Source organism: Homo sapiens, chromosome 11, assembly GCF_000001405.40.
Source record: "Homo sapiens chromosome 11, GRCh38.p14 Primary Assembly".
In the NCBI taxonomy this organism is placed as follows: Eukaryota; Metazoa; Chordata; class Mammalia; order Primates; family Hominidae; genus Homo; species Homo sapiens.
This window is the reverse complement of record NC_000011.10, coordinates 103077536-103094575: the sequence shown is the minus strand read 5'-3', so window position 1 is coordinate 103094575 and position 17040 is coordinate 103077536. Positions and strand designations below refer to the sequence as shown.

The 17040-nt window shown below is 37.5% G+C and overlaps 1 protein-coding gene across 4 annotated transcripts in view, besides 5 other annotated features; it reads left to right on the top strand.

Moving 5' to 3' along the window:
- Positions 1962-2011: an enhancer, noted in NCBI's record as "active region_5450". NCBI's record gives its function as "activates an Ori minimal core promoter by ATAC-STARR-seq in GM12878 lymphoblastoid cells {active_cell/tissue: GM12878}" and the evidence as "EXISTENCE:reporter gene assay evidence [ECO:0000049][PMID:35858748]".
- Positions 2061-2678: an enhancer, noted in NCBI's record as "H3K27ac hESC enhancer chr11:102962627-102963244 (GRCh37/hg19 assembly coordinates)". NCBI's record gives its function as "activates a minimal SCP1, AML or CMV promoter by ChIP-STARR-seq in primed H9 embryonic stem cells {active_cell/tissue: H9 hESC(primed)}" and the evidence as "EXISTENCE:reporter gene assay evidence [ECO:0000049][PMID:30033119]".
- Positions 2082-2131: an enhancer, noted in NCBI's record as "active region_5449". NCBI's record gives its function as "activates an Ori minimal core promoter by ATAC-STARR-seq in GM12878 lymphoblastoid cells {active_cell/tissue: GM12878}" and the evidence as "EXISTENCE:reporter gene assay evidence [ECO:0000049][PMID:35858748]".
- The window catches only part of DCUN1D5 (defective in cullin neddylation 1 domain containing 5), a 41475-nt gene continuing 26850 nt past the window's right edge, over positions 2416-17040 (top strand). Inside the window, exons 1-4 of one of the 4 annotated variants that reach the window (NM_032299.4) lie at positions 2416-2789; positions 5258-5349; positions 11250-11320; positions 11737-11828. In NM_032299.4, coding sequence (NP_115675.1) covers positions 2704-2789; positions 5258-5349; positions 11250-11320; positions 11737-11828 — 341 coding nt within the window. In that variant the 5' untranslated portion in view covers positions 2416-2703. Of the gene's footprint in view, positions 2893-5257; positions 5350-11249; positions 11321-11736; positions 11829-17040 lie in introns of all 4 variants that reach the window. The other 3 variants (NM_001318739.2, NM_001318740.2, NM_001318741.2) reach the window with 3 other exon arrangements.
- Positions 2679-3296: an enhancer, noted in NCBI's record as "H3K27ac hESC enhancer chr11:102962009-102962626 (GRCh37/hg19 assembly coordinates)". NCBI's record gives its function as "activates a minimal SCP1, AML or CMV promoter by ChIP-STARR-seq in primed H9 embryonic stem cells {active_cell/tissue: H9 hESC(primed)}" and the evidence as "EXISTENCE:reporter gene assay evidence [ECO:0000049][PMID:30033119]".
- Positions 2822-3116: a silencer, noted in NCBI's record as "tiled region #3; HepG2 Repressive non-DNase unmatched - State 1:Tss, and K562 Repressive DNase unmatched - State 1:Tss". NCBI's record gives its function as "represses a minimal TATA promoter and a strong SV40 promoter by Sharpr-MPRA in HepG2 and K562 cells {active_cell/tissue: HepG2 | K562}" and the evidence as "EXISTENCE:reporter gene assay evidence [ECO:0000049][PMID:27701403]".

Here is a 17040-nt window from a genome sequence, read left to right as displayed (position 1 = left end):
GTGCATGACTGTATTTCTCCCTCCAGACTGGCAGCTCCATGATTGCAGGAGTCATGTCTGCCTTTTATATTCTTAAGCCCAGTAAAGCTCCTGGTTGAAGTGATGATTAAATATTTTTTGAATAGATAGACTAAATGAATACCACACATAGATCCAGCCTTTTGTCTTTTTCTCAGAGTATTCTATGGGTGTGAGTAAGCTCCTATCCAGTTACTGCATTCAGCTCAATGTCCAGGATTTCCAGGTATAGTGGGGTCTTCCTTAGTTCGAAAGTGATTCCTTATGGTCCAATGGCCTATGAACTAAGAAGCAATAATCTACTTCCCACTCTCGCCCAATAAATAATGGTGAAGAAGGGACACAATTATCACAATAAAAAAATTCCTATTTAAAAAAGAACAGAAGATGAGATGTGCAGTGGTCTTTGGTCTATAGCAATGCTGGTAGCCTGCAAGACAGGCATTATGAAATTCCCTACTCTTTGATCAGGCCCTGATTCTACTCTGTGGAAGGACACCCCTTTAACATCATCCTCTGAGATCTTTCTTTCTATCCTTTAGGTTTTATTCCATTTCTTTGGTCCTCCTTGGGAAAAGGGGCTGTTTAGCTTTTGCAGCTCACCAGTTGAAGAAATAAGTTTGGCTATCTCTAATAGTTTTGTCATTATCATTTATTTTGTGTTTTGTTTTGCACATTTTATATAAATTTTATTTAGGAAGAATATGCATAAAAATATCAATTTTTAAGTGTACAATTCAATGAATTTTGACAAGTATATATACTATTACTTCAATCAAGACATAGAATATGTTCATTACCCAAAAAGTTCCCTTGTGTTTCTTTGCAGTCAGTCTTCCCCGGCTTACTCCATCCCTGTCCCCAAGTGTCACTGATATGCCATTGCTATAAGTAAGTTTTACATGTTCTAGAATTTCATCAAATATCCAGCCAGCATTAACATCTCCAATTGCCACAGAGATGTTATCATATTGTTTAAACTGTTTGTGTGAGTCAAATTCAAATAAGAACTGCATACTGAAAATGATTGACATATCCTTTAAGTCTTTTAATTTCCTTCTCTCTCCTCTCGTCCTAATAATTTGTTGCAGAATTTGGGTCATTGTCCTGTAGACTTTTCTGACGTCTAGATATTGCTGATTGCATTGGGTATTTAACATGTTCCTCTGTCCTGTACTTTTTGTAGATGGTAGTTCTATTTAGAGACTTTATCTGATTCTGTTTTGATTTTGGCCTCAGGCATTTTTAAATGGGTTGAAGGATCATATACTTTGACATTCTTTTGGTTTTAAGTAACAGAGAATTGAACTAAATATGCAAAATAGTGAAATTTGTTGCTTCACATAAGTGAAAATTCCAGGGCATATCATGGATTTTGGGCTCATATCATATAATCACATCCTGGTTTTTCTATTTTTCTGCTTGATACTAGTCTCTTCTGAGTTTTGGCTTCATTCTCCATACCTTCTCTGGTTCAAATCCATAGGAAATAAAATTGCTTTCTGGTGGTTCAATTTTGTGTCATTGGCACTCATTGGCCTGGCCTGAGTATGTGTCCATCCTGAACCAATTAATAACACTAAGGAAATATGATATTCGGATTGACCAGATTAGGGTGCCATTGTGAGGGTAGTTTCACAGGAACCACTTCAACTATTACTCAAAGACTTTTAGTCTTCTCCCATCACAGTTGGTTTGCAGAGATTATTTTACCAACAGAATTACTAACGACTTTCTACTATGTCTTTACATACAATAACCATTATTTAAAAACAGTATTTCCACCTAAGTGGAGATGAATAGATTACAGTGTGTTTTGGGTCTAGGGGGAGGTTCCTTAGAACTGTCCCCCAAATTTCTCTCTACTGAGTCGCAGTCACCTACTGTCTCTTATCGGAGAGGTGAGCTCTGTGGAAATAATGGCAGAGCTAAGTTTCAATACAGGACAAAGTGATATGCAAAGGTAGGGAGAAGGGGGAGTGGGTGGCTGATCACAGGCCCATAAAAAAAACACGCAAGACACAGGGTGACAATGCATTTACGGGGTGGGAACACTTCAGGTGAGGTTATCGTGTGGAAGAGCTCAGAAGTGGAACTTGGTCTACTTTACCAGGTTGTTTTTAACGTCAACTGCAAAGTATTAGTAGTTTCACTTTTTGGCGGTGACTGCCAGCATCAGAGCGCGGTAGAAGCTTCATGAGAAAGGTCAGGATACCCTGGACAGGATACAAGAATTCCGCGGACTGCCGCAGTCGACGGGTCAGACAGCTTCGCTCTGCCTGGCCTACCTACGAGTGGCAGAGGCTAACCGGAACCACGCCCCTTCCCGGGACCGGCTCCGCGATTGCGTCACTTCCGGGCCTCAGCGATTCGCCTCCGGGTTAGGCTGAGCCTCTTGCTTGCTGTGACTGGTGGAGCTGCCGCGCTGTCCGCGTTATCTCCTCCCGGTGAGAACGAACCGCAGTGTCCACCGGCGAGGAGCCAGCCCTGTCCCGGTCAGAGAAAGACGACGAGGATACCTGGGAGCGGGCGGCGGCCGGGCTGGGCCGCGCCGGTGCGGGCTGGCGACTCTGCTCCTCCGCTTGCTGCTGTCTCTGGGAACTGGGTGCCAGCGCTGAGGGGCTTCCAGCGGACAGGGACCCCCTTCCCCGGCTCCCCTGCCCACCCTGCCGGGGAGGGCGGAAGATGCCGGTGAAGAAGAAGAGAAAATCCCCTGGGGTGGCAGCAGCAGTAGCGGAAGACGGAGGCCTCAAAAAGTGTAAAATCTCCAGGTACCATCTCCCCCCACCCTTCAAGCTTCCCTCCTCCCTCCTTTGCTGGACAACTGGAGGAAAAGGAGTCGGGCCCGGCCTGCCGGGCTGGGGCTGGAGACAGGTGAGGCCCCTTTGATCGAGCTAGGCTGTAGGTGCCGAACACCGCGAGTCTCCGCGCCCGACCCGACCTCGTGTTCGAGTGTGTGCACGCTGGCGTTTATGGAGAGACTAGAAGAGCCGCCCACGTTAAGAGTCTACGTGCCCTGCAGGGTGGGGAACAGATGCATATGTAAATTGCGCTTCCCCCCACCCCCACCCCCACCCCACAACCGACCCTCGATCCCCTACTCCCGTATCGCTCCTCTGCCTTTTTCTAGACTTAGAAGTGAGTACATATCCGCAGAAGGGTCACTTCTAGAATTTCTTTGTAGAGTGTGAAGAAAGCAGAACATAAGGAATCTTGACAACTGTCTTGGGAATGGTAGAAAGGAAAACTTGTATGCTATAATTGGCCTCCATATTTAGTATTTGGAGTGGCCTAACCCGGAAGGTCCCAGCAGGAGGCCTTTTAAATTGCAGGAGCCCCATTTTCTGGAAGTATAGTGCCTCACCTATGCCAAGTCCCTGTGTGCAGAGTTGGAAAGGCCCTGCATGCTTTTTGTCTTCTAGCATTCAGGACGCTGTTAGCTCTCAGCATAAATTAAATAATTTGTGAGCTCTTGTACTCTGTCCTACTGGTAAGAAAGAAGACAAGGCAGAACTATATAGTAGTAGCTCTTTGATCCCCTTGTAGCATATCATGGAGGCATCACAGCAAAATTTATGCTACAAAAAAACTGCAATTTTGGTTTGAGAAATGGTTTTTTTGTTTTTTTGTTTTGTTTTGTTTTTCTGAGACGGAGTCTTCCACTGTTGTCCAGGCTGGAGTGCAGTGGCGCGATCTCCGCTTACTGCAACCTCCGCCTCCCGGGTTCAAGCGATTCTCCTGCCTCAGCCTCCTGAGTAGCTGGGATTATAGGCGCCCGCCACCACGCCCTGCTAATTTTTTGTATTTTTAGTAGAGACGGGGTTTCACTATGTTGACTAGGCTGGTCTTGAACTCCTGACCTCGCGATCCGCCCGCCTCGGCCTCCCAAAGTGCTGGGATTACAGGAGTGAGCCACCTCGCCCGACTGAGAAATGCTTTTTTAAAAAATAACCATATTAGCTGCCTTTTCATCAATGGTTGGCACTTGATATGACAACTTCAGATGCTACTATTGAAAGGAGACTGTAGCCAGGATTATAAGAAGGAAATAATGATAGAGCTCTCCTTAAAGAGAGATCTGCTTAAACTGTGAGGTAGATGACTTACATAGTCTGCATCTTCTTTTTTGTAATTGGTCGACTTTTTTCCCTCATTACTGTGTTTTGGTAAAGGAGTCTATGGAGTATTAGGCTATTAATGTGAACGATGATACATACACCTCTTGTTTGTCAACATTAGAATTTGACATGGTTACTTTAGTAGCTCACATTTTTATAAGATACAGGCAAATTATTATTCATTTTTGTACTATATCATGGCCATCTTAAGTATATAATGTATTAAAATTATTTAAGTTAAGTACATTAAGATAGCTGAGCAGGCAGTATTATTAGAACTCAGGTGATACTTTGCTCTATCAATTTAAATTTTTAAATATGATACTCTTACTTTACTCAGTTACAGAAGTTCTATCATTTCTATATCATTGTGGTAGGGTAATTATTTGAGTTCCTTGAAAAAAGTTTCTCTGAAGGCCATTAAATTCTAGAGGCCATTTTGAACTTACCAAATTTTAGTTATTTTATGAAAAACAATGAAAATGATTTTATGAAAAAAATGAAATAGAATGAACAGAACCTAGGATTAAATAGCCTTGTCCCAATTATTTGGACTATTATTAACTTTTAGTGTTTTTTTGTTGTTTTTTTTAAATCTGTGTAATTTAATATACCCTTAGGTCCTAAGTCATCATTTATCTTTAAAAATCTATTTAAGCTTAGGTGATAAAACAACTCTTAATATAACATTTTATTTTGAAATATTGATTCATTAAGTATCAAAATATACTTTGTAAGAGTTTGTTTTCAAATATTTATCTATTACACACAAATAGAATTTCTATGCAAATCAATAGAATCATAATAAATATTTATACTTTCCCACCTACTAGGTTGAACTTCTTTGTAGTCTTTTAAAATGTGCGGAAATAACTTACTGATATTTTTGGATTTTGATACTGAGTGAAAAGGTATTTGGGTTTTGTTAGCCGATAATTCTTATGTATAGACTACTGTTTCAAGTTGCAATTACTTAACAACTTCAGTTTTTTTCCAACAATGCCAACCGAAGAAAAAAAAAACCTTTGTTTAATGTGAATGGAAGTTGTTAATTTTGAACTTAGTTTTTCTCTAAGAGTTGAGATGTGATAAAAATCTTAGGCGTCTGTGTGTTTTCTAAGCTATTGCAGATCCCAACCCCCTGCTAGACTAATAAGTGGAGAGGAACATTTTTCAAGCAAGAAGTGCCTGGCTTGGTTTTATGAATATGCAGGTAATGAAATTAATATAAGAAGATACTAGTCATATGCTTTAAAAAGTTTATTTGCCTTATTCATTTAACAAATTATCTGTTACAGGCCTGCTATGTGTTAGTGCTGTGTACTGGGATGAGGGTCAGGACTGAAGATTGTGGGTAGACTAAAAATTTGTTGCCAATTTAGGCTGATATTTCTTTAAATATATATTCGGTATATATTTACTGGGAGGGAAGAACTCATTTACTATTAATAAAACGTGTAAACAAAGATTCATTTATTTACATCTATTGGCTAAAGTAGTATTCTGGAAAATAAAAGGTACACAATAAAACATTTTTGTATTTGATATTGTGGAAAACACAAAGTACATAATAAAACATTTCTATTCAATATTCTCTTTTTGAAATTTTTCTGAACTAACATTTTCTGAAACTTTTGGGGAGACATAGTAAAAGATTTAAACCCCTCAGTTATAATTGTACAACACATTTACTTTTTAACAATTATCATTTAGCCATCCACTTCTACTAGAGATGCAATAGTAAGAAAATAAATAGACTGATATTAATACAGTGTGATAAATACTATATTCAGAAGATACACTGTGAGAGTTCATAGGAGGGATATATAACCCAGCTTTTAAAGTGTCATGGGAGTTTTCTAGAGGAGCTAACTTAACCTCAGCTAAATCTTGTAACTGGTGGATGAAGAGCCCTAGGCCCAGGATGGGGTTGTGTTTTAGAGGCGAAAGTCAAAGCCAGCCAGAGATGGGGCTGAAGAGTTAAGCAAATATATGCAAAAGAACACTTATACTATCTCATAAATATATATGGAATTTTTTTCCCCTTAGAATAGTTTTGTTTTTTTGGAGTTATTGATTTTAAAGCTTTTTTCTTTTCCTTTTCCTTTTTTTTAACCTGCTTCACTTTTTTTTCTCCTTCTTTTAATCACTATCATTCTCAAAATGTTTGTTTAAAATGGAAGTGTATATGTAGCTATTGCCTTATATTTAGTGCTCATCCACATTAAGGTCTAAAGTAGTATACTTTGAACTTGAGGTATAAGTTTAGGCTAATTGTATGGAATGTGAGACTATTTTGAAAGGGGGGCAGTAACTTTACTGTTGGAATCAGCTGAGTGATCCCAAAGTACAATTTTAAAATTGTTTAGTAACAGAACAGATTCTTTCTAGACCAGAAATAAATGCTATTACTGGCATCCCAAGACAACCACTAACCCAATTTAAATGAAGGGAATTCATTTCTTACTGACCTCCATTTAAAATGTTGACCCATTATCCCAAATGCCAGTTTTACTGGTATGAATGATATATAATCAAAAGGTCACCCATCTTATTTCACTTATAAAGGTTACTAGATACAATAGAAATAGAAAATATTTGCCTCAACTAGGAACTTTCCTAGGTAGTGTAAGATTCTAATTAAACATTTGTTTACTATATTAGCATTTTTAATAGCCAACATAATAATTGCATTATTCCAGGAATTGTCCCAGGTATATTATTTTTTCTTGTGACTGTTCTATTAAGTAGGTAGTATTATCACCACCTCCCACTACGACTTTATTTTTTGAGACAGGGTCTCACTGTGTCGCCCACGCTGGAGCGCAGTGCTGTGATCATGGCTCACTGCAGCCTTGAGCTCCTGGGCTCAGGCCATCCTCCCACCTCAGCCTTTCTAGTAGGTGGGAATATAGGCATGTGCCACCACGCCTGGCTAATTTTTTAAATTTTTTGTAGAAATGGGGTTTCAGCCGGGTGTGGTGGCTCACGTCTGTAATCTCAGCACTTTGGGAGGCCAAGGTAGGCAGATCACGAGGTCAGGAGATCGAGACCATCCTGGTTAACATGGTGAAACACTCTCTCTACCAAAAACACAAACAATTAGCCGGGCGTGGTGGTGTGCGCCTGTAGTCCCAGCTACTTGGGAGGCTGGGGCAGGAGAATGGCGTGAACCCAGGAGGCGGAGCTCACAGTGAGCCGAGATAACACCACTGCACTCCAGCCTGGGTGACAGAGTGAGACTCTGCCTCAAAAAAAAAAAAAAAGAAAAAGAAAAAAAGAAATGGGGTTTCACGATGTTGCCCAAACTGGTCTCCAACTCCTGGGCTCAAGTGATCTAATTGCCTCAGCTTCCCAGAGTGGTGGGATTACAGGCATGAGCTGCTGTGCTTGGCCATACCCTCATTTTATAGATGAGAAAACTGAGACTTAGATTAATTAATTTGCCCAAGATCATATAGTGACAAGAGCCAGGATTCAAACCCAGGTCCTTCTGATTCTAAAGTCCATGCTTTTAACTACTATGCTTTTATGTATTTTTTATTTAAATTTTATAATGTTTATATATAGTTATAAACATTTTATTATAATAGATATTATTTTATGTTTATTTTTTATTTAAGCTAATTTTCACTTTTGCAAAGAAAATATTGGTACTCTTGGTTAATTTCTGTCATCCATTCAATAAATATTGAGCACTTGTTTTGAGTCAGGCACTGTGCTGAGTGCTGGATATATAGTGCTGAGCAAGTCAGACAAGATCCCTGCCTTTGGGGGACTTGCCTTCTGGTGAGGAAGACAGTCAGTAAACAGGTATGTAGGCAAGATAAGTACAGATTGTGGGGAGTTATAAGGATAATAAATATGGTGAGGTTCAGGAATAGAGAAGAAAGAAGGGTTAGATGGACTTTCAGATAGAGTGATTAGGGAAGGCCTCTCTGTGGAGACCACTTTGTGCAGAGACCTGATTAGGGAGGAACCATTTGTTTGCCAAATAAACAGTAACTGTTCTGTCTTGAAATGGGTATGTCCGTATTAAAATGAAGCCAATAATTTTGCCTACTGAGAATAATACATGTAAAGCCCTTAGCACAATACCTGGTATATAGTCAGAACTCAAATGTTATTATTATTAAAACAGTAATAGCATTACAGCATCAGATTTACTGGTTGTGTGTTTTTTACAGTGTTCCAAAATTAATGACTCTTACGTAGCTCATGTTGAAGGTGCTGTGTCACTGAGAATTTTTTTTTTTTCCCCCTAAGCATCTGTTATGGCTGGCATGGTATTAGGCCTTGCAGATATAGCTAGGAACATTCCTTTATGGTTATAAAGAAATCAGGAAATTGATGGTGTTTTTCTTTTAGTTTTGAAAATATCACTAAACTTGTTACTATGGTATTATGTGTGATAAGGCTGTTGGTTTTGTTCTTTCACAAGACCTCATTCTTGAGTGATATTTAAATTAATGATTCAGTAATATACTGGCCTATGGTAATTGAAAACATGGAAAGTGAAAGGGCAGTTTTAAAGTCTCATAGAGTCAAAAAATAAGGTTGGAATTGCATAGTCCTAATATAGTACCTAGCTGGTGGAGTAGAGTGAACTCATAGTATGAACAAAATCATTTCTATAGCTTCTTCAATTGAGTGGAAACCTAGTTGTCCAAAAGAGTTAATTAAATTTAGCTCCAGAGGTTTTACCCAGAGAGTAGTTTTATTAGAAAGATTGGAAGCAATGGTATTGGAAGGATTAACATTTTGCAGTCCGGGGAAAGCACATTAGTTACAGACCTCGCTTTAGACTTAGATCTGTTACTATTTACATCACTTTGGCAAAGTCAGTTAACATTTACAGACCTTATCTAAGTTATAAGGTATTATATCTCTATGTAATCTCATTTGACTTGCTTCTAACCAAATTTTAATTAGTAATCACCAAGTAATCCTCCAGTTTCTAGGGGGGCTATACTGATATTTCTTTTTTATTTTTTATATTTTTTGAGACAGAGTCTCGCTCTGTCACCTACGCTGGAGTGCAGTGGCGCAATCTCGGCTCACTGCAACCTCTGCCACCTAGGTTAAGTGATTCTCCTGCCTCAGCCTCCTGCGTAGCTGGGATTACAGGCACCTGCCACCACGTCTGGCTAATTTTTGTAGTTTTAGTAGAGACAGGGTTTCACCATCTTGGCCAGGCTGGTCTTGAAATCCTGACCTCGTAATCCATCTGCCTCGGCCTCCCAAAGTGCTGAGATTACAGGCGTGAGCCACTGCTCCTAGCTTATGCTGATGTTTCTAGACATCCTCTAAAGCTTTCTCTTTGAATCACTAATGGCAACTTTGAGAGCAAGTATGTTTTCTTGATGCTTTAGAAAAATTTACAATATATTTACATCGTGGCTTTTAAAAAAACCGTTTGTCTTTTCCCTTAATTTTTTATTTTTTATTTTTTTTTGAGACAGGGCCTTGCTCTCTCCCAGGCTGGAGTACAATGGCGTGATCATGGCTCATTGCAGCCTCAAACTCCTGGGCTCAAGCAATGCTCCCACCTCAGTCTCCTGAGTAGCTGGGACCACAGACTGGCACCACCACACAAGGCTATTTTTTTTTTCCCTAGAGATGGGGTCTCCCTGTGTTGTGCAGGTTTGTCTGGAACTCTTGGGCTCAAGTGATAATCCCACCTCGGCCTCCCAAAGTGCCAAGATTACAGGCATGAGCCACCGCGCCTGGGCCTCTTAAATTTTCAAATCTGATTTTTGTTTTCTTTCAATCATATATAAGAATACATACTCATTTATGCATTTTAACACCTTTATTGTATATGTATGCCTTTTAAGTTATAAAATTAACACATTCTCATTTAAACAATTCTCCAAATATGTAAAGGAAGAGAAAGTGCCCTATAATTAATCACCCCCTTCACCTTTTAACACGAGTGCATTGTTAGTACTTATTTAAACCTAATAACACTTAACATGTTACACAAAAAAATTAAAAAGGGTTTTGGCTTCAGACCAGTATTAATGTCATCTTAGCAGCTTGGATCTCAGGCAGCAAGAATGTATTGACTTTATGTTGTGCTAGTAACCTAAATATGGTGCTGTCAAATTTACCTGAGCAGCCTTGGTCTAGTCTATGGTTTATAAAGCTGGAGGATTTTCATCCTTGAAAAAGGAAAATAGAGGCTTCTCTTGACTCTTAAGAATAATATCTCAAGATTATATTTTCAAAATCCCATAGTGGTAAACACATTTCTCATATTATTACAAAATTTGTTTTATTCTTATCCAGTCACAAAAGAGACCTAGTGATGATGTAATTACTATATTTTGGGAATCTGATAACATTTTGAAAAAATGATAATTGATGTATTGATTTATTAATGTTGCTAAGGGTGTAAAATAAGGAACAAGTTAAATGCCAGTAATTAATTTTTGGATGAATGATAGACACTAACTAATTGAAAGATTAAACTTCTGTTTCTACATTAAGGTGACATCAATGCTTGCTGTCTGTTTTAGAACCAAGATGATAAGGAAAATAGCTCTTTCTGGAAATGGAATGTAGTAATTTCCATAAGTCATTATTTTCAAAATACCTTTGTCTTTTTCAATAATTAAATTATATTTGAGTGTATTTCAAAAGGGTAATAAATGGCCTGTTTTATAGGTAAATATATTCCCCTTCTGATTACTGTATTGAACTTTGTGTTGGTTCTGATATTCCAGTAGATTAAGAAGCTCCAGCTGCCTTATGTTTTTTCATATTCATGCATTGTCAAAAATTTTATTCAGAGTAGGCTCTCAGTGAATTTTTTTTTTAATGGATTGGTTTGAGTTTTTGTACTAACTTGTGATTGATACTAATGGAGTATTTCTTTGCTGCTTTTTAAATTTTCTTAATTTCATATTGTAATCTGGTGTTCAAAGAATACTTCACAAATTTTAAATTTTAAATCCTGTAGCAAATATTTATACTTATCAAAGCTATGCCAAAATTCAAATTTAATTATTTGCAAAATATTATGGTGTGTTCATGGGTACCTTTAGCATGACGATTTATGTTTTATGTTGATATTATAACAAAATATGTTAATTATTTTTGTCTTTGAAGGTCCTGATGAAGTTGTAGGGCCAGAAGGAATGGAAAAATTTTGTGAAGACATTGGTGTTGAACCTGAAAATGTATGTTTTATTTCTAAGTAGAATGGCATATAAGTGGGGTATAGCATATTCGTAAATTACTAAAAATCGAGACACTTTAATCTTGTATGAAGATTTTATTTCTTCATGTTTAATATTGTAAATTTGCATTTAAGGTATTTTTAATCAGTTTAAGTTGGGCAAATGTATTCTTTCTTGATACAAATGTTATATGTAATAGAATAAGAGATTCTACCTTCAGAAACTGTTAGAACTTTTTACTTTTAAGAAATTGGCACATCTCAATTTCTTTGTATATAGTTAATAATTCCAGAGGTTGTACTCTTTAATAGTTGAAGGATGGAAGTAGTTGTGTAAAAATGCTCTCCATGATAAATATAGACATGATTATCTCTATGCTGACTTTTCCCCTATCCTTTATGTTCTGTTCTTTCCAGATTATTATGTTAGTTTTAGCGTGGAAATTGGAGGCTGAAAGCATGGGATTTTTTACCAAGGAAGAATGGTTAAAGGGAATGACTTCATTACAGTAAGAAATTTTTTTAAAAAACAAATTTGATGGCCTATTTGAAGATCTTAATTGATATTTTGTGCTTCATAATTTTCAGGAGTAAGGTTTCACCTTAAATCAAATCTGTTTGATCTATAACAATTAGTTTGGGGATTGAAAAAATTATATTGTGGTCTTGGGCAAATATATAGGTACCCCATGTTTTATATTCTCTAAGAAAGAACCTTAGTACAGTCCTATTAAAATTCCTTGATTCTCTTGGTGAGTGACTTAAAAGTCTATGATCAAAGACCTATTTATTTACAGGTTGTTTGAGTATAAGGATTTTCCTCTCTCAATACAGAATTCTACTATCGAAGGAGTATGTTCGTTGGGCAGCCCTAAGCTCTAGGGCCTCCTCTCCCTTCTTCACTTTAATATTTGACTTTAAAAATTTGAAGATAGAGTTACATAACCCTTTTATGATTTCTTTATTGCCAAGTGAATTTCATAAAGGACAAAAGTAGAAATGTTGTAACTGCTCCCGTGCAATCTTTACCCATTTTATAGTCCTACACTTTCAGTTTAGGATCCTGTCTTTGAACATTTTCATAAGTTATAGAATTGCATCTTATAAAAATAATTTGATTTTGGCTTTCCTGAATGAAGTGTGCTTAATTTCAGAATCAATTAGTGATTTTGTGTTAATTGTATAGTATCATGTTTCTAGTGTTTCTGCAGGGTATTAGTTATCAACATTCTAAAATAGAGAAAGCATTAATTTATAATATTTTTGAGGCAAAAACTGGGGCTTAATTAGCTGTTTGGTTTCCTGTTGTGATTATGCTTTCATTAACACATGTAATTATTCTTTATTTTTTGCCTGGCCTTAAATTTTTTTTTAAAGTATTTGTTTATGAGGCACTAAAATTTTTAAATTTGAATTTTCAGTGCTAATGGTTTGTAATTCTCTTTTTTAACTGACATTAACATGTAGACACGTGGATATTTTATATATTTATTTTTGGGTAAAAGCCTTTGCTCATATGAACCAAATCATAATTTCTTGAATGGAATATAAAATCAACCCTCCCACTTCCATTTTTTTAATAGTCTGAGACCTAGAGAGGTTACGAAAATATTTGGCACAGTTCCTTAGTAGTAGTGCTTAGTTAGAACCTAGAATTCAAATTTCCTGATTACCAATCTCTAATACTGTATTCCTACTTTCTATATAAATCAACATTCCTTATAAAATAGAGGACCATTATTTTTAAATTATAGCATTTGCTACCAAGACTGAATTCTGCCATACATTTAGGTGTCATAATATGCCCAGTTAAATACATTGATTCTGAAATTCTTTGGATTATTTCTCAACATTTAATTAGCTTTTTGGAGAAAGATTAAATAAATATACAAAAGAATATGCAAATAATATAGGTTTTATACAACTCAGTGTGTTTTACTAAAATTTATGTTGTAATATGGCTTATTAATGTAAGACATTTGTCATTATAAGTGCATTTTGGACTCCTCCTCCTCCTCTTTAAATACTGCTTTTTGAAGTATCTCAGCTAACAAGTGGCTGTATATTTTTAAATCTAAAAGTTTCTTATTTATGTTTTTGCATAAGTTGATACAATATAAAAAGTCTTTATAACAAAAATGTGTAAGCACAAAGCATTTCTAATATATACTTCTGAATAATCAACATCATATGGTCTTGCGTACAAGAATAGAAACTGACTAGCCCATGAGCATGTTTTTTTTTTTTTTTAGACGGAGTCTTGCTTTGTCGCCAGGCTACAGTACAGTGGCGCGATCTTGGCTCACTGCAACCTCCGCCTCCTGGGTTCAAGCGATTCTCCTGCCTCAGCCTCCCGAGCTGGGACTACGGGCGTGTGCCTCCACGCCCGGCTAATTTTGTGTATTTTAAGTAGAGACAGGGTTTCATTCACCATGTTAGCCAGGATGGTCTCAATCTCCTGACCTTGTGATCCACCTGCCTCGACCTCCCAAAGTCCTGGGATTGCAGGTGTGAGCCACAGCGCCCGGCCAAGCACGGTTTTTATTAGCACACCTTTCCTGTAGGAAGGTCACAGGGTATACAAAATAAAAGCAATTATTCAGCACTTAAATTTGTCCCAGAAGTTTCTCTTTCACTGATTTATTATTCCTTTCCCATTTGCCCAGAATAATATACTGTAGAGCCTTGAAGCTACTGAGGAATGCTTGAAGTGAGCATTCTTGACCTGGAAAATCGTTGATTTTTTTCCCTCATGATCTGGGTTACCATGTGAAATACAAAGTGTTTTTCTTCAATTGGCCAAGTCTTATTACTCCTTGAATTTTCTTATTAAAAACTTGCTATGAATAAAACAGTTTGAAATTTAAACCAAGGAAGACAAAAAATCTGTGTCTTTAGAAATTATTTGTTGCTTAGTATACTTTGTGTTCTATATAATAAACATAATCTTAAAATATAAAACTTTATTATCAGTTCTCTCTGATATTTTTCATACTTTTGTGATTTCACCTGGGCATCTAATGATCTCTTAAATCATCTTAATATAGTCATGAGTTGTTTCAATTAATTAATTTTAACCCATAAAACTCTTTATAACTATGTTGGTCTGTTAAAAAATAGAAACAGTCTGGTAGTTTAAAACATACACTGTGTTAAAGGATAGTAGACTGTAATAATCATGATTAGTCATCTATATTGTGTAATGCTTTATAGTTTGCAGACTACTTTGTTAACATTCGTTTGTTTTCTATTCATATAGGCTTTCTATAACTGAATTGGCTTTCCTTTTTGTGTGAAAGAATTTGTGGGTATATGAACTGGATATAACTGGCCTAGACTAGCCATTTTGTAAGTTTCAGGGGATGAAATTGCCATATGCTTTTCACATCTATTCTTCCATGTAGTTTTCATCTTTGTTTAATAATAGCCAAATTTCCTTGCAAATCTAAGGTGTTAATTTTTTTTTTTTTTTTTGAGACAGGGTCTGGCTCTGTTACCCAGACTGGAGAGCAGTGACACAATCATGGCTCACTGCAACCTAATCTCCTGGGCTCAAGTAATCCTCCCACTTCAGCCTCTCAAGTAATTGGGACCACAGGCACATGCCACCACACCTGGCTATTTTTTTTTTGAGAGACAGGGTCTCACTATGTTGTCCAGGCTGGTCTCAAACTCCTGGGCTCAAGTGATGCTCCAGCTTGTCTCACTATGTTGCCCAGGTTGGTCTCAAACTCCTGGGCTCAAGTGATCCTCTAGCCTTGGCCTCCCAAAGTGTTGCAATTACAGGCGTAAGCCACTTTGCCCAGTATTAATTTTAATTTAATTTTGTAGATATTTATATTAGACACCTATATTATGTAAGGCACAGTATCACTTACTGGTGATCACAGCGAGGAATAAGATGCAGCTTTTGTCCTTTAGTCATATTCTACTAGGTCAGGGAAAACATTACAATACTGTAACCCAGCCAACCTTTTTGGCACCAGGGATCAGTTTCGTAGAAGACAGTTTTACCATGGATGGGGCTGGGGAGAAGGGAAGGATGGCTTTGGGATGAAACTGTTCCACCTCAGATTATCAGGCATTAGATTCTCATAAGGCGCATGCAACCTAGATCCCTCGCACGCACAGTTCACAATAGGGTTCGCATTCCTGTGAGAATCGAATGCCGCTGCTGTTCTGACAGGAGGTGGATATGCTGGCTCACTCGCCTGCCGCTTGCCTCCTGCTATACAGCCTGGTTTCTAACAGGCCACAGGCTGGTAATTATGCTCAGCCCAGACATTGGGCACCTTGCTGTAACCATAAACCAAGGAGAACGTGACATGTGCTAGAGTGGAAATACAAGATACTATGAAAGCACAGATGAGTAAGGTTAATTTCAGCTGAGTAGGTAGGTAAATGTAGGTGTGGCCTGTGAACTAGAACATGAAGAATGATTAGGATTTTGTTTGTTGAGGATACAGGAAAATGTTTCAGAAGAGGGAAATTGTGAGCAGGACCTTGAGGAAGGAAAGCATATGTTTGAAGGAAGTAGTTTGATTTCTTAAAATTGTAAAGTACATAAAAAAATTGCCAGGATAGGTTTTGAATTCTAATATTTTGAGTGATGGCTTCACTGTAGAGTGCTTTAGCTAATACGTTGAGAGAGTTTAAATCTATGTTACAGATATTGGGAAACCATCAGAGATTTTAAAGCACAGGAATTTTAAAAGATTTGGGGGATAATTTTCAATGAGCAATTGTTTTTAATATTTTAAAGTCACAGTCTCTTTTGAGAGTCTTATGAGAACTATGGACCTCGTTCCCATTAAGAGGCACATGTACTGCTAGACACAAAAATTTGATGTGCTCTCAGGAGGTTATGGAATTTCTCTTCCTTCGTCTATAGATACGAGGTTTCAAGGATACTTGGCGAGTTTTTGTTCTGGCATAGTGTACTAGAGTGGAGGTCTTTTCTCATATCTGCTAGCTGAAAGTCTGGTGTTGGAGCAAGGGTGAAATACTATACCAGTGGAGAAAACTGAATATAGACCTTTGAAGAGGACCGTACTTGATTATGATAATGAAAAGGACAAGACAAGAGCATCTGACAACAGTGATAGTAATTAAGCTGCCTGCCGGTAGGTTGCAGTTTGTAAATCTAGTCTCTATTGAGCCCCGGACTTTGAAGTGTAAAAGGAATGGCATGGCTTGACCGTCTTAGCGAGAGGGGAATAGGGAACATTTATATGATTTTTTTTTTTGGTGGGGGTGGAAGAGGAGAGTAAATGAAATGCCATCGTGTGTGATGTGACTGTCATTCATTTAGCATTTGGGGCCCAACTACTAATTGCCATTAGCATCCTTTCCCTCTGTTCTCTCTTAAGGTCATTATGACAATTTCAAAATGCCCCTCTGCACATTTTCAAATACCCCTAGAAGTAGATGGTATTGTTCTGGTTGAGAAAGCTTATTTAGAGGAAGTTCTAAATCCAGAACTTTGTGACACAATTCTTCGTGTTACACATCAATGTGTCACAGCACAGTCACTGGGACTTATGGATTAGGAAGAGAGCCTCACTTACATCTAATACATGCATGAAACTTTCTTCTCACTTTAAAGGTCTTTAATGAAACACAAGTTCAAAAGCCTCCCTTTGTAATCAGTTGCTTAGCAATACCAGGAAATTAATTTCCGAGTCCTAACGTTGAAATTAATACCCATTTCTTCTCTTTCTA